The 15,218-nt window shown below is 34.8% G+C and overlaps 1 long non-coding RNA gene across 2 annotated transcripts in view; it reads left to right on the forward strand.

Moving 5' to 3' along the window:
- The window catches only part of LOC105369838 (uncharacterized), a 122,994-nt gene that overhangs the window by 56,902 nt on the left and 50,874 nt on the right, over positions 1-15,218 (forward strand). For both annotated transcript variants that reach the window (XR_945088.2, XR_945089.2), the window contains one exon: positions 5,573-5,699. This is a non-coding gene — a long non-coding RNA (uncharacterized LOC105369838). The remainder of the gene's footprint in view (positions 1-5,572; positions 5,700-15,218) is intronic.

Here is a 15,218-nt window from a genome sequence, read left to right on the forward strand (position 1 = left end):
CTTCTCCTCTTCTTTTGCCACAAATTAGTTAATTATGCCATAGTAGTGATGTGGTCCTTATACAACAAATTGAATTAAAACTATGCATATCCCTGAAACTGGAGATATTTTGAAAATTTTCTCACAAATTAACTGAGATGTCTTTTCTGTTATGCCATTAAAAAATAACTACTTTGTCAAGAACTTTGAAAGATTTAAGAGTTTTTTCCTGCTTGTAAGTTAAAAAGCCCATCACAGTTTTGTGGTTTCTGGCAAAAGACATTAGACTCCTGGGTCAGAGATTAAAACAAAACAAAACAACAACAAAAAACAAAACAAAACAAAACAAAACCTGTTACTCATAGCTCAGTAGGCAGCATAAACTGCATGTTGGCATCATTTTCCCCTGTCCCCTAAATCCCATGGGAGCAATGTGAAATGGCCAGATAGAAGTGGTGCATGCAGCGGATTTGCATGATAGCCAGGGAACTCTGAGCTAAGTAAGCCCCAATCTTTGGAAGGAGCTGCAAGCAAACCTGTTCATTATTTTCCCTGTAGATATGACCTTTTTTATATTAGAGAGCTGTGGGGGCCAAGGGCTTTGAAAGATTTGTTGAAAATCACTGACATGAGGCAGATTCATTAATAGGAGAAAAGGCATACCAATTTATTTAATGTGTATACACGGGAGCCTTCAGAATGAAGACCCAACATCTCAATGAGGCACAGAAGCTCATATGCCATCTTGAGGGTACGGAAAGAATGAGGACTTGAATCCTGGTCAGGCAGGTTATGGGAGGGGGAGAAGAATTCTATTGAGAGGCAATAAAGGATTACTAGGTAGAATGATTATATTGGGGAACAGAAATTAACATGTAAATAGTTTTGTTTTTTTTTTAATTTAAATGTTCCTTAAATCATCCTTGGAGACAGACATTGTCTTGAAAAAGGGTATCTTCAGATATGGTTACATTCTTGGTTTTCTTTCCTGTAATGGATAATGAGATAATGGCGGGTGTGGGCAGTGTGGGGGCAGAGTAAGAACTATTGTTCTCCTTGGTGTGTCAGTCCTATCTTTAGGTAGGTAGGGGACAGGTCCCTTCTAGTGCTTGTTGATTTCTAAGGGTTTTTAATATAAAATATTCATTATACCACAGAGCCAAATTTTGGGGTTAAATATGTTAATTTTCTTCACAGCAAAAAAAATCTCTCTGAACCAGGAGACACTATTCCTATCCTCTTTTGAGGCTGTCTGCTATAGAAAATCCTTATAAAAGAATTCTGAAACAAAAGCTGTCAAATCTTCTGCTGAAAAGATCTGCGGAAACATGAGAGACAGATGAATTATCTCTCAATATAAACATTGAGTGAAAGTAGTTAAAACATTATTCTCCAAGCGTTAACCAAGAAGAATTTTTTAAAGCCAAGTAGGCCATTGCAACTCTAAGTCATTCCCAATCATAGCTAAAATCTAAAACAATGTAATGAATATGATAGCAAACAATAAAAATATTTCGAGTCTTTATTATCCATACCTGGACACTATTCTAAGACCTTGTAAAATGCATTGCCTCATTTAACTCTCTGACAGAGATACTATTATTATTATTCCTTTGACCTCATATAATCATTATTCTAGTCTGTCTAGCATGTCCTGCAAAACACGTATAAGTGATCCTGAGGAGATATGTGTTTAATAGCTTGCATGTCGTGGACAAATTTAAAGCTATACCATTTTGATTGGATGTGGTACAGGAGTGGAGACACTCAAAATAGTTGAATTTGTATAGTTATTTCCTAAATTTTCCAGATAGCCCATATAATTCATGTATTGTCCTTTATATACATCCTAGAAAGTAATTTTTCTTTATCCAGTTCTCTACTTTCTCCATGTATGTTCAAGCATCTTAACATTTTATTAATCTGTTCCTATATGACCCATTCTTGCTGCATTTAAATTTGTGCCTCCAATTCTAAGATGAGAATCATCCTATAATGGAGGTCCAGATATTTAGAGTTTGTGCTATCAAAAATTATTTTTCTAAGAAAATTATTTCACCTGAAGTTATCTAGTTAATAAAACAGAAATGGTGATGATCCAGAATATTTTTGATGAAGAGATATAAAACATACCTAGCCCTACTATACAACTATGGGACCATCACAGTTTAAAGTGCCTGAGGCCAACATAAGTGAGGGCCTTGAATTGGTAGTTTTGATTTTTCCATCAGCTATATTTTGGCAGCCAGAACTACAAAGCCTACACCTTAAAAATTTTTCAAGACTATAATTCTATGGCTTGAGTACTTTGCGATCAACTATTTCTAGCTTTGATCATCTAAGACTTGTGTGGTCATCAGACTGCCAAGAATGATTAATCATATTTAAAGTATTTTGATGGGGGTGATAGGAAGTAAAACAGAAGAATAGACTTTATCTTCCGGCCATGAAATTTCATCTGTTTACCACTGGTTTGTTATGTGGTCTTCCTGGAAACCATTTCATCTGATTCAAAATGCCAACAAAATTTAAAGCAGCGCTTAACTGCGCTTTACTCAACATAACTAAACTGCTATGATTTAAATGTGTCCTCCCAAAAATCATGTGCTGGAAACAATCCCTAATGCAACAGTGTTCGGAGGTAGGGCCTAATGAGAGCTGATTAGAACAAGAGGGCTCCATCTGCATGAATAGATTAATACCATTATCTCAGGAGAGGGTTTTTGTTGTTGTCGTTGTTTGTTTTTTTTTAATAAAAGGGAAAGCTCTCTCTTCTTCTCTGTCATTCTCTCTTGCCCTTCCACCTTCTGCCATGGGATGATGTAGCAAGAAGGTCCCCACAAGATGCTGAACACTCAGTCTAGGACCTTCTAGCATCCAGAACTGTAAGAAATAAATTCCCGTTCATTACAAATTACTTATCCAGTGGTATTCTGTTACAGCAGCACAACAACCTGACACATTCCCAGTGCACTACAAACTAGGAATCTTCTGCCAGGGTTAGGATAGGCCTGTTGAAAATGCCACTGAATGTCTCATGATGTTCTTTATTTCCAGTCTTACATTTCCCACAGCAAGAGTGATATTTCATTTTTTTGGAGATTAACAGTAAACTAATAAATTTAAGCCTTTGTATTATTTCCAAATGTTTAATTCTACTTCTTTGCAAGTCATTCATGTACTCTGTTTTCTCATACTCCATTGGCCTTATTTCACAGATCTTGGACCTCAGGTAGCGTAACAGTGTAGAAAGCTGCTCTTTCAACCATCCCATCTCTAAATTACAAATCTTCTACTAACTCTGAGGACTTATAGCCAGATGAATGATCTCAACTAGGTTTTCACTGATGCTGACACAGCTGCATATGTACAGATAACATGTTCTCTACCCATCAAGTCTCCATGAAATTTTCACATAATATCACTATCTTCTAGTGCATCTGCTTCCATAGCAGATTTCCATTCTCGGTATTACTCATAAGCCTAGAATGACCACCACCCCTGTATCCCAGTTAACAACTAAGGGAATATGAAAATGAGAAAGACCATGTCTAGATGCTTTACGAATGGTATAAAAATATACTAACCAATGTTTAGAAACATATCCACGGAAATGTTATTTAATTCACGAACCTGATAACAAGTGTCAAGACTAAAAATTGAAGAAGTGCCATCTTGAGATCTACCCTGTAAATAGTCTTCATACTCTCATTCCACCTTCTTTACCAAGTCTAGATCACCCACAAGAGCAGAGGTTACTGTGGAAAGTTAGACTTCAACGCTTCTACTTTGAAACAATGTGATATTCTCCAGTTTTGCTTCTTTTTATCTATTCTTGTCAATGGATCCAGGGAATTATTTCTAAGTTGTAACTTGTAAATTCAAATCATATTACTCGTTGTCTTAAAACTTTATAGTGAGTATCCTTAAATAGCACTACTCTCTCTTTGTGCCTCCTTTGTCTCTAAACTACTTTCAATTCTCAAAGGTAAGGCTGTTTTGGGTATCCATATTTTGCACATGTGTTCTCTTTGTCTAAACTAACCTGTATATATGCCCCTCCACCATCCTCTCTTCTCACTAACACATTTTTCAAGTCTAGTATAGAACAGGACATCATAAAAATGCAAGCCCTGAGAGAGTAGTGAGCAAGTCTTATTTGCTGTTAATCCCTATTGTCTAGCAAATTAGAGGTGATCACTATATATTGTTAAATGAATTATAAGCTGGTTTATCAATTTTCATTTATTCAAACGAAGAGTTGTCACGTTTCAGAAATATACTTCAAAGCACTTGTTAAAATTGATATAGACATTTCTTTGTGGGATAAACTTCAATGTGAAATTTCAATAGGAAGTTTTTCTTGTTATTATACAAGTAATACTCCAGTGTGTGTAAGTAGATGCCTATAATTCTTTACTCTTGGACAACTTGAAGAGTTAATTTACATTCAAGGCTAGAGAGCTTTCTGCTGATAGGTGCCATGAGAGTGTCAGAACACTTCAACTGAACTTTATCAAACTGAGTGGCAGATTGGTTTATCTAAATTGAGGACTTCTTTTCGCCCTACCTTTTAATTGTGGATCATTCTTAAGGTGTTTTATTATAATTGTGCACAGCTTGTGCTGTTTTATTGATTAAACTGCTGTGAAGCTCTTGGTGCAAGTACAGCACAAACTATGTGATATAAGCCTTTTAAGGTTATTGTTATGCTTGTAGTCAGATGGCTGCAGTTGTGATGGCTGTGATTGAAAAACAAATGAAATGTTTTTGGGAAACTGTAATCACATTAGTCTTGACATTTCACTACTTCCTCCTGGGTAACTAATAGGTTCTTTTCATTTCTAAAAAGAAACTTCTAATTAAATATTATTTTTCTTCTTTTTTTTGTTAGAAAAGGTCTAATTCTATGAAGACCTATTAGGCTGTATGAAGTTTCACCTCTTTCTTCATATTTGAGTTATTACTGTGCATGCCATGTGTATATACATACACATATTTCAAGAGGCTTAGGATTTAATGTAAGGATTTAATAACTTAATTCAAGAGGTCTAGGCGTATTTAATTACTATTAGACAAAGAATATGTACTTATAAGTAATTAGATTTCATTAGAAAACATAAAGAACCGAAAATTGTGATTCAGAATAAATCTGATATTGATGATTATGAAATTACCAAGTTCTTTGAGCATGGATAGGAAGCAAACGAAAGAGATGGAGTGTGAGGTCCTTCGACCTCATAATACTGTGAGATATTATACAATTAACACACCAGAACAGCAAAACCTTAGGCAGCTTTGGTAGTCAGATTGTCAGTTTGAATCCAGGCTTTATCATATACTATTTCTGTGATCTTGAGAACATTTTTTAACCTCTTAAGTCTCTGTTTCCTTATCTATATAAATAGGATAATAGTAATAGCTAACTGATATGATTATTGTAAGGATTTTATAACTTAATCCAAGTAAAGTATTAGAACATTTTAATCACTAAGTGTTGGCTCAACTAAACTCATCATAAATAGATAGAATGCCTACTGGTACGAGGTACCATAAGGCATAGAAAAAAAGCAAGGTAATTTCTGTCTTTCAGGGTATTTCCGTGCCCATTCGATGCATGACACAGTTCTGAATGCCAACCTGGTAGAATTAAAAGTACCAGCATCATTTCCCTCGAGCAGAAAAAAATGCTGCTGGAAGCCTTACTAAGTCAATAAATGGTAAGTGTGTTGCATATGAATACTGTGTGAGTTTAAAAAAAAACATTCATACTGAGTCACTAATGCTGACGAATAAGTTAAGGCTGTGGCTGGTCAGTATTTTCTTGAGAACCGATGTTACCAGTTGCTTTGTATTCAGGGATTATGTATAAATGTCATTGCACTACTCTTTTTAGCTCATGACATGTGCAAGTGCATACACATAGTCAACTGAAAAAGAAAGAATTAATTTTCTCTGGTGGGCAAAGTCTCAGGATATACCTATTATGAATGAATCTGACCAGAATTAATTATTTGGGTCTTGTAACATCAATATTCAATTTGCCAAAGTTAGGACCCCTCTCAGGAGTAAAATAGCCATGATTTATCTCTCTAAATTAAAAAGGTTGAATGGCATTACCTCATATACATAATTCATTTTAATTAAATGCATATTCTTAAATACCTTCTTAATGGATATCCAATGCCTCATTAATCTTAAATGTAACAACTTGAGATCCTTTGGGAAGTCATGTGATGACTCAAAATTCACAAACATAATGTGTAATGCCCAGGTAGAATGTCTATTAGGCAATCTATGCAGGTTGAGTATATGCCAGGTATGATACTCATTTACAATGCTGTTAGCTCAGGAAAATGTTAAACAGATAAAAGACATAGATTCAAAAAAGCTGTTTTTTCTACCATCTATTTTTAAAATTCTCTTTCAAATAACACTGAGATACTAATATTTTAATTTTTCTTCTAAGAGGAGAGTTTATGAGGGTTTGAGATAGACTGAGTTAACCCAAGTCAAATAAGGTTTCTTTTGTGTAATGGAAGTTTCCTGTGCATGTTAGACTATGAACTTACCAAAAGCAGAAATTTCTCTCTGCTTTGTTTACTTCTATGTCACCAGAATCTAGAAAATTCCCTCACATATGGAAGTCAATAAAAATTCCATGATTGAATGAATAATCTTCAAATACACTACAGTGCATTATGACTGCCTGAGAAGGTGACATGTCAGCATTGACCTACTTGATGTCCTCAATCTTTTTTACATTTTTTGAGACTGTAATATTTCAATGGAAGTAATTAGAGTACACTTTTCTGGCCCATAGTTGTGTCTTCCATCACAATCCCTGATAGAATTCACACTGATTGTGAGACATTAAGCTAAAGAATGTGATAAATGTCTTCATGCAAACCCACCACCATTACGAGAGAGAAAGATGTGATGCATGAAAACAAAACAAAATACAATTCTTAGTTTTATGAGCTCTCAAAAATAGATGAATTACTAATTAGACATCCAAGAAATATGCTTTGCATGTTTCATTTCTTTAGTTTCTTATATTGCCAGAAGATGTGAAATCGCAATATACTATCTCTCATTATTTTGGCATAGCATACTTTTATAATGTAGTTTCTTTACAAAACAGATACTTCTAAAAGAAGAAAAATAAGTCTCTGAAGTTTCTCTAGTACATTAATTCATTTGAGGGAAAGAATAAAAGAGAGTGAGATGGGACACACCCACAGACACATTTCCAGAAAAGGCTACAAAGCCTGCAGAGATGGAATCAAACATATAGCTTTTACTGACTACAAAATACCCTTGTGAAATTTGAGAACTGCATGAGGCATTCTGCTTTTTGAAGCACTTTTACTTCATTAATTTAGGGAATGTGCACAATAACCTTGTGAGTTGAATCAGAAACACGGTCCCATTTTGCAGATAATGAAATTGTGACACCAGGCAGTAGGAGGAATTTGTATAAGGTTATGTGAGTAATGAATAGTATATTGCAGAGATGGGATAAACAAATTGCAGTCATTAAATATGTACACTAGTATGGCTATGAATAAAAGAAAGAAGAGGGTTTTGGTAGAGAAGGAATATAGAATTGGACAGGCAGTAGAGCAACCTGATGATATGTCACTGAAATTTTTTGAGTCTTAAGCAAAGGTTCACAGAGGAACTAAGGTTGAATATAGAATCTTGTAGCTCATCACACACAAAGAACACAACAATGAGATTCAGAGAGAAGTTTTTATAAATGAAGCTATTCAAATGATAATTCTTTCAATCAAATTTTCCTTCAGTCTATTCAGATTTTTAAAAAGTAACTAATATTTATATAGACTTACAGTGTGTCAGGAACAGTTCTTATTGCTTTGCATGTATTAATTCATTTAGTTATCCTGACCATCTGTTTTGTAGATTAGAAGATTGAGGCAGAAGGAGATTAGGTAACTTGCTCAAGGTCATATAGCAGAAATTTGTGCCCAGGCAATCTGGCTCCAGAGACCACACTCTTAAGACTACACTACTCTGCCTCTAGATAACTGAGCTACTCTCTTTTTTTTTATTCTACTGAATTAAGAATTTAAATTGAATTGGGGCAATATTACAGCACAGGAGTTAAACACAAGGAATTGAAGGTTGACCCTCTTTAGTTCTAGTGCTTGCTCTGAAACTGATTAGCTATGTAATTTTTAACAACTTATTTAATTTCTCTAAGACAGTTTTCTGTTGAATGGAAGGAAAAATAGTATGTATAGATTTACTAGAAGAATTACATGAAAGGACAAATACAAAAATGTTTAGCGAAGTACCTGACTTTTAGTAAAAAGCCATTTAATGTTAAAATTATTATTATTGACTGAATCAATCATTTGCTTTAATATCAAAAGGTTTCAACCATGTTGAGAAGAACAGATTCAGTGGGAAAATTTTCTATGAGCATCTTTTGTTATAACTGCTGTTACCGGATTGGTTATCATTAGCTTCTTTTTCATACTGCTCTGAGATTTTTGAAATGACATTTTAAAGTGTTTGTGTAGGAAGTGGTTCATGTAAAAATTGTCAGATCACTAAGACCCAAGAACAGAGAAAATCCTGATGCATCCCTAAAATTCAATAAAGATATTTAAAAAGCACATTTATTGAAGTTAGAAATATTGAATTGATTTTTTTAAAAGATGCTTCAAAAGGCCTTCTGAATAACTTTCGATGAGTTTAAAAGAGTGAATTGAAGAGTAGTGAGACTGTGAGACTAAATGGAACTTTTGTTAAATGCTTTGGAACTCTTTAGGAAAAAAGTAGAAATATTCATTAATTTTTTTATTTTAATGGAAGTATCAGTTACAAAAAATAAAATAAATATACGATAAATATTTAGTTTGACAAGTTTTTATAAATGTACGTATCTGTGTAATCACCATCCTGATCAAGATACAGAACATTTTCATCTCTGCAAGAAGCTCCCTAGTGCCTCTTTCAATTCAATCCCCACCTCAAACTCTACCCTCCTCCGACATTGACAAATGCTTTCTGATTCCTTTTTGGCGTTCATATAGACTATATGTCATGCTTCTTTTACTCCACATAATAGTTTTTGAATTCATTCATTTTGTTACATTATCAGCGGGTCATGTTTTTTCTTACTGAGTATTATGACATTGTGTATTAGGTCCTCCTTATCCATGGTTTCAATTTCTTTTTTCTTTTCTTTTCTTTTCTTTTTCTTTTTTTTTTTTTGAAACGGAGTTTCACTTTTGTTGCTTAGGCTGGAGTGCAATGGCGCGATCTCGACTCACTGCAACCTCCGCCTCCCAGGTTCAAGAGATTCTCCTGCCTCAGCATCCCGAGTAGCTGGGATTACAGACATGCACCACCACGCCCGGATAATTTTGTATTTTTTAGTAGAGATGTGGTTTCTCCATGTTGGTCAGGCTGGCCTCTAACTCCCGACCTCAGGTGATCCGCCCACCTCGGCCTTCCAAAGTCCTGGAATTAACAGGCATGAACCACCACGCCCAGCCTCATGGTTTCAATTTCTATGGTTTAGTTACATACAATCAACCAAGCCTAAAAATATTAAATAAAACTTTCCAGCAATAAACAATTCATAACTTCTAAGTTGCACAGCATTCTGAGTAGCATGATGAATTTTGTGCCATCTTACTCCATCCTGCTTGGGATGTGAATTATCCTTTGGTCCGGAATGTCCATGCTGCATAGTCTACTTGCCAATTAATCATTCAGTGGCCATCATTGGTTATCAGATGGACTGTGATGGTATCATAGTGCTTTTGTTCAAGTAACCCTTATTTTACTTAATAACGGCCCCAAGGCACAAGAGTAGTGATGCTGGCATATTGCTGTAAGTGTTCTATTTTATTATTAGTTATTGTTGTTAATCTCTTACTGTGCCTAAGTTTATAATTTCAACCTTATCACAGGTATACATGCATAAGAAAAAAACATAGCAGTATATATAGGATTTGGTGCTATTTGGGGTTTCAAGCATCTTCTGCGTGTCTTGGTATATACCTCTTGCAGATAAAGCATGATTTTTCTTACTATGCAAATAAGTAATGCTACTTATAAGTATAGTTATAAGTAATCATGCCTTATCTTCAGGAGATACATTCCAGGACCCCCAGGAGATGTTTGAAAGCCCAAATAGCACCAAACCATATATATGCTATGGGTATATACTATATTTTATAGTAGAAAATGTCAGCAATTTTATCTTCATTCACTTGTTGCAGAAAAATGTTTCTCCAGTATTTGGCTATAATGACTACTATGAATATTCTTGAATAAGTCTTTTGGATATATGTTTTCATTTCTCTTGTATAAATACAAGTGAAATTGATGAGTCATGGGGTGAATGATGGTTTAACTTCATAAGAGATTGACAGTCTAAAAAGCTATACAAATTTATGTTCCTAACAACTGTGTATAAAGTTTCCAGATGTAGATATATTAGCATTTTCTATTTTTTGTGCACTTTTCATAATTGTGATTTTCTAGGAGATTGCCTATTTTATCTAAATCGTCTAATTCTTAGCATTACTTTATCCACAATACCACCTTTGATATCTGTAGAATCTTTGGTAATTTCCTCTCTTTTGTTCCTGATATTGGGAATTAGTCTTATTAGTCTCTCTCTCTCTCTCTCTCTCTCTCTCTCTCTCTCTCTCTCTCTGTCTGTCTCTCTCTCTGTCTCTCTCTCTCACACACACACACACACACACACACATTGTTATTAACCAGTCTTTCTAATTTTTTATCAATTTTCTTCATTTTTACAAGAAACTAATTTTTGGCATTGCTTGATTGTATCTCCATTTTATTTACTCTTGCTGTTATTTTTTTTCATTTCATTTTGTTCTAATAATTTTGGAATTGCCACTCTTTTAACTTCTTGAGTTAAAAGCTTTGAATATTACCTTGGACCATTTTCTTTTCAAGTGTAGCCATATAGCTGTATTTTTTAGCTGTATATGTTACTCGACACCGTTGATTGTGGCTGATTGCCAAAAGTGAGATTAACTCTCCACTCAAAACTGTGTGATAAGTTGAGACTGGTGACATGACAATCACCAGTAGGCTGTGAAAAGAGTTATTACCTATATAGGAGGATTTTCTGGGTAAAGTAGGACAGGCTCAAGACAGTTTAGGTAACTTGAGGGAAGCAGAGAGAGTGAGTTAATTTTTAGTATGGCTAAGAGGTGGGAATGGGAAGATTTCATGCCTGTGCAAATGGGTCTGAGCTTCAGTGATATGAATGTTCTGCTAGTACCATGGAAGCAGGTATGTAAACTTTTTAATTGGCTTGGCTAGATGTAGGACAAAAGAGGAAGGGGGAGGATAGGCTTGTAAGCTGTCAGTAGTGAAACATCAAAAATGGAGTCTTTCTCTTTATTATAGCCATATCTATCTCCATTCCACTAATTCTATGTTGCATTTCATTATTATTTGGTAACGTATTTTCTAATTTCCTATGTATTTCTTTTTTGACCTATGAGTTATTCAGAAATGAGTATCTTAATTTCAAATATTGAAATTATTTGAGGCATTTTCTTTGTATTTTATCCTTATTGATTTCTAATATAATTTAATTAGAAATCTAATTTAACACCATTGTAGTCAGAAAGCAAGACTTCGTATTTTTCAGTCCTTTGAAATTTATTGAGATGTGTTTTATAGCCCACCATATAATATTTGTACAGTTAAAAAATGTATATTATGATTCTGATAGGTGTTGTTTTCTATAAATATAAATTAGGTACAGGATGTTGATAGTGGTTTTCAAATATTCTTTATCATAAACAGCATTTCTTTCATTGTTCTGTCAATTACTGACAGGAGCATGTTAAAACTTCCAATGCGATTATGGACTTGTCTGTTTCTTTCTTTAGTTATATTTTCACTTCATGAATTTGAATCTTTGTTATTAGGTTCACATACTCTGTTTTAGGTACATTAGTATGTCTCTAATAATTTGACTTTTTATCATTATGAAATGTCTCTACTTCTGATTATACTCCTTAATTTGCCTGATAATAATATAGCCATGTTGACTTTCATATGGTTACCGTATTTATGGTGTATATAGACATAGAAATAGATATATATGTGCCCTTTTACATTCAATCTATGCCTTATATTTAAAATGTTTCTTGTTTTCCGAACTTTGACGATTTGAATATAATATGCCTGTGTGTGCGTATGTTTTTTGGTTTTTTTTGTTTTTTTTTTGGTGTGGGGTGGGTGGTATTTCTCTTGCTTGGTACTAACTTCCTGAATTTGCAGTCTGGTGTCTGTCACTAATTTTAGAAAATTTTTGGTCATTGTTACTTTAAATGTTTCTTTTTCTCTTTTCTCTTTATGACATTCCAATTTCATATATGTTATATCTTTTGGTATTGTCTCACAATTTTGAGATGTCCTGTTCTATTTTGTTTTCTATTCTTGTTTCTCTTTGCATTACAGTTGCGAGTGTTCTATTGTTCTGTTTTCAAGTGCACTGATTCTTTCCTTGGCCATGTCCAGTTTTTTGGTGAGTTCGTTGAAAGCATACTTTAATTCTGTGTCTGTGTTTTTCTATTTCTAGCATTTCCTCTTGACTCTTTTTTTTATAGTTTCCATCTCCCTGCTTACATTACCCATCTGTTCTTGCTTCTTATACACTTGTGGCATTAGAGCCCTTAACATATTAATCATAGTTATTTTAAATTCCCTGTCTGATGATTCCCATATCTGTTTCTTATCTCAGTGTGGTTCTGATGAAATTGTTTTCTTTCTCCAGAGTGTGTTTTTACTTCCCTTTTGGGACTTGTAAATGTTGTTGAAAGCCAGATATATTGCATTAGGCTACAATTTCCCTTCCCTCCCTGGGTCACCTGGAAGATGTCTCTTCGATTGTCACTGTGAGAAGCTGGTGGAAATTCTGGAAATCTCACTGTGAGAAGCTGGTGGAAACAAAGTAAATATGTCCTTAGTGTGAGGATTTATGTTAATCTGACTAACAGTTAGCCTGTGTTTAGTGTCGATTACAGCAGTAGATACCCAAGCGTTATTGTATTTTTCCCTGTTATCTTTGGGCTTCCCTATGTACTCTTTTTCAGAAAGCCTGTTTTGCATCTCATTCGGCTGTAATGCACTATCTTTACACTGGATCCCTGTTGGCATAATACTCAAATATAAAGGGAAGGGGATAATTTTGTAATCTTCTCATTAATCTGCTATTTAGTGGGCCTGTATCTCCAAGGTATGACCTTCACAAGTGTTTCTGAAATAGCATAGCTTTTATTCCCCTTCCTCCTACTCCTGTTCTAGTACAGAATTTTCAGTCTATTTCCTCGAAACCCTGAACTCCGTTGACCATGTTTCCCCCAACTCCCTTTGGTGAGACAGGAAGTCTAGTGACTGGAATAAGGAGGAGAAATTCTCTTCTGAAGTTTGAAGTTTGCACTGTGGCTAAGTCCTTTGCCTAAAAGATTAGGGGAAATATTGTGATGATTGTACCCAAGGGCTACTCTTGCCCTTCCCTGACAGTCACCAGGGGGGATTTCTCGTGGATTGTCAAAGTGAGAAACTGGTGGAAATCATGGAGAGGAAATTTAGGAAAGTTTGTCCCCCATTCCACCCCAAGACTGTGTCTCCTAGGAGTTTCTTACTCTCCAACTAGTCCATAATAAGCCTCCTACAATTTATCCCAATTCCCAGTAAGTGTTTCTGCCAGTTTCTGGCTTCAGTAGTTTCTGCTTCAGGTAGGCAGATTGCAGCTGTATCTTTTCAGATGTGCCTGATTTTCTGGATTGAAGGATGGTAGTTTGCCCTGTGATCTCCAATTTTATTATGGGTCCGAAAAAGTCCCTGATTTTCAGTTTTTCTAGCTTTTTCTAGTTTTAAATATAGGAGTGGCTCTTTGCATGTCAAAACTGAAACCAGAAGTCTGCAGTATTTCTTGTACTACATAAAATATAGGTGGTTTTGTTTTTTTCATCTAATCTGACAATCTCTCCCTTTATTTAGTGTATTTGGTCCATTTACATTTAATTTCATAATGGATATGTTTATATTTAAGTCTACTATCTTGGTATTTGTTTTACATTTGTTCTGTCTATTCTTTGTTTCTCTGTTCTTCCTTTCCTGACTCCTTTTCAGAGTCAGGCATTTTTTAGCATTTCATTTTATCATAGGGAATCCCCAAGATAACAGGGAAAAATACAATAATACTGGGGTACCTACTGCTATATCTCTCTATTGGATTATTAGCTATAGTTTTCTATTTTATGTTTTAGTAATTTTTATAAAGTATTAACTGTCTATGTCATCATAATCTACCTTTAAATAATATTATGTGGCTTCATGGCAAATGTATAAGCCTTTCAATAGTATTGTTTCATTTACCCTTTCCTCCCTTTTTGCTCCTGTCACATATTACACCATTCTATATGCAGAAACCTCACAATTCATTTTATTATTTTGTTTTAAATGGTTATTAGTCTTTTAAAATGTATATATTTATGTATGTGGGCTCCCAGCTTTCTGTAGCTGTTGATTTACCCTTTTATAGAAATTTCTCTCAGATATTTTGTCCCAACTCCATTCTTCAGTCAGGTGTTGCTTTGTCCTAGGGGAAGGCCCCATCTGCCTCAAGGAGGTCCTCTCAGTTTCTTTACCTTTTTAACTCAGTCTTTGGCCAACTACTCCTGAATTTGTTTAGTGTGCCTGTGTCTCCAAGCTATAACCTTCGGAAGTGTTTCTGAGGTAGCATAGCTTTTGTTCCCCTTTCCTTCTACTCCTGTTGTGGTGCAGAATTTTTAGTCTATTTCCTCAAAACCCTGAACTCTGTTGATCACGTTTCCCCCAAATCCTTTTGGTGAGACAGGAAGTCTAGTGACTGGAGTCTATGAAGAGAATTGGTAGGTGAATACATATTGCCCTGTGGCTGGGGATCTTTGGGATTCTAATTCATCATATTAGCTCACATGTAGCCACAAAAAGTTTGATATACATTTATCTGGTTTATTCTGTCCTCAATCAATTATTTCTTCTTGTTCTTCACCAGGAATAAATGCAGTAGTGATATGTTTTCTTATAGAAAGGGCTTGTCACTGTCTGGATATTAGCTCATTTAGATTTCTTTGCATTCTTAACTGTCTGCATTTTTTTATTGTTGGGTAGTTTGTTCAGCTTATTTCCAGCTTTATAGTTCTCCCAACATTATTACT

Source organism: Homo sapiens, chromosome 12 (assembly GCF_000001405.40).
Source record: "Homo sapiens chromosome 12, GRCh38.p14 Primary Assembly".
Classification (NCBI taxonomy): Eukaryota; Metazoa; Chordata; class Mammalia; order Primates; family Hominidae; genus Homo; species Homo sapiens.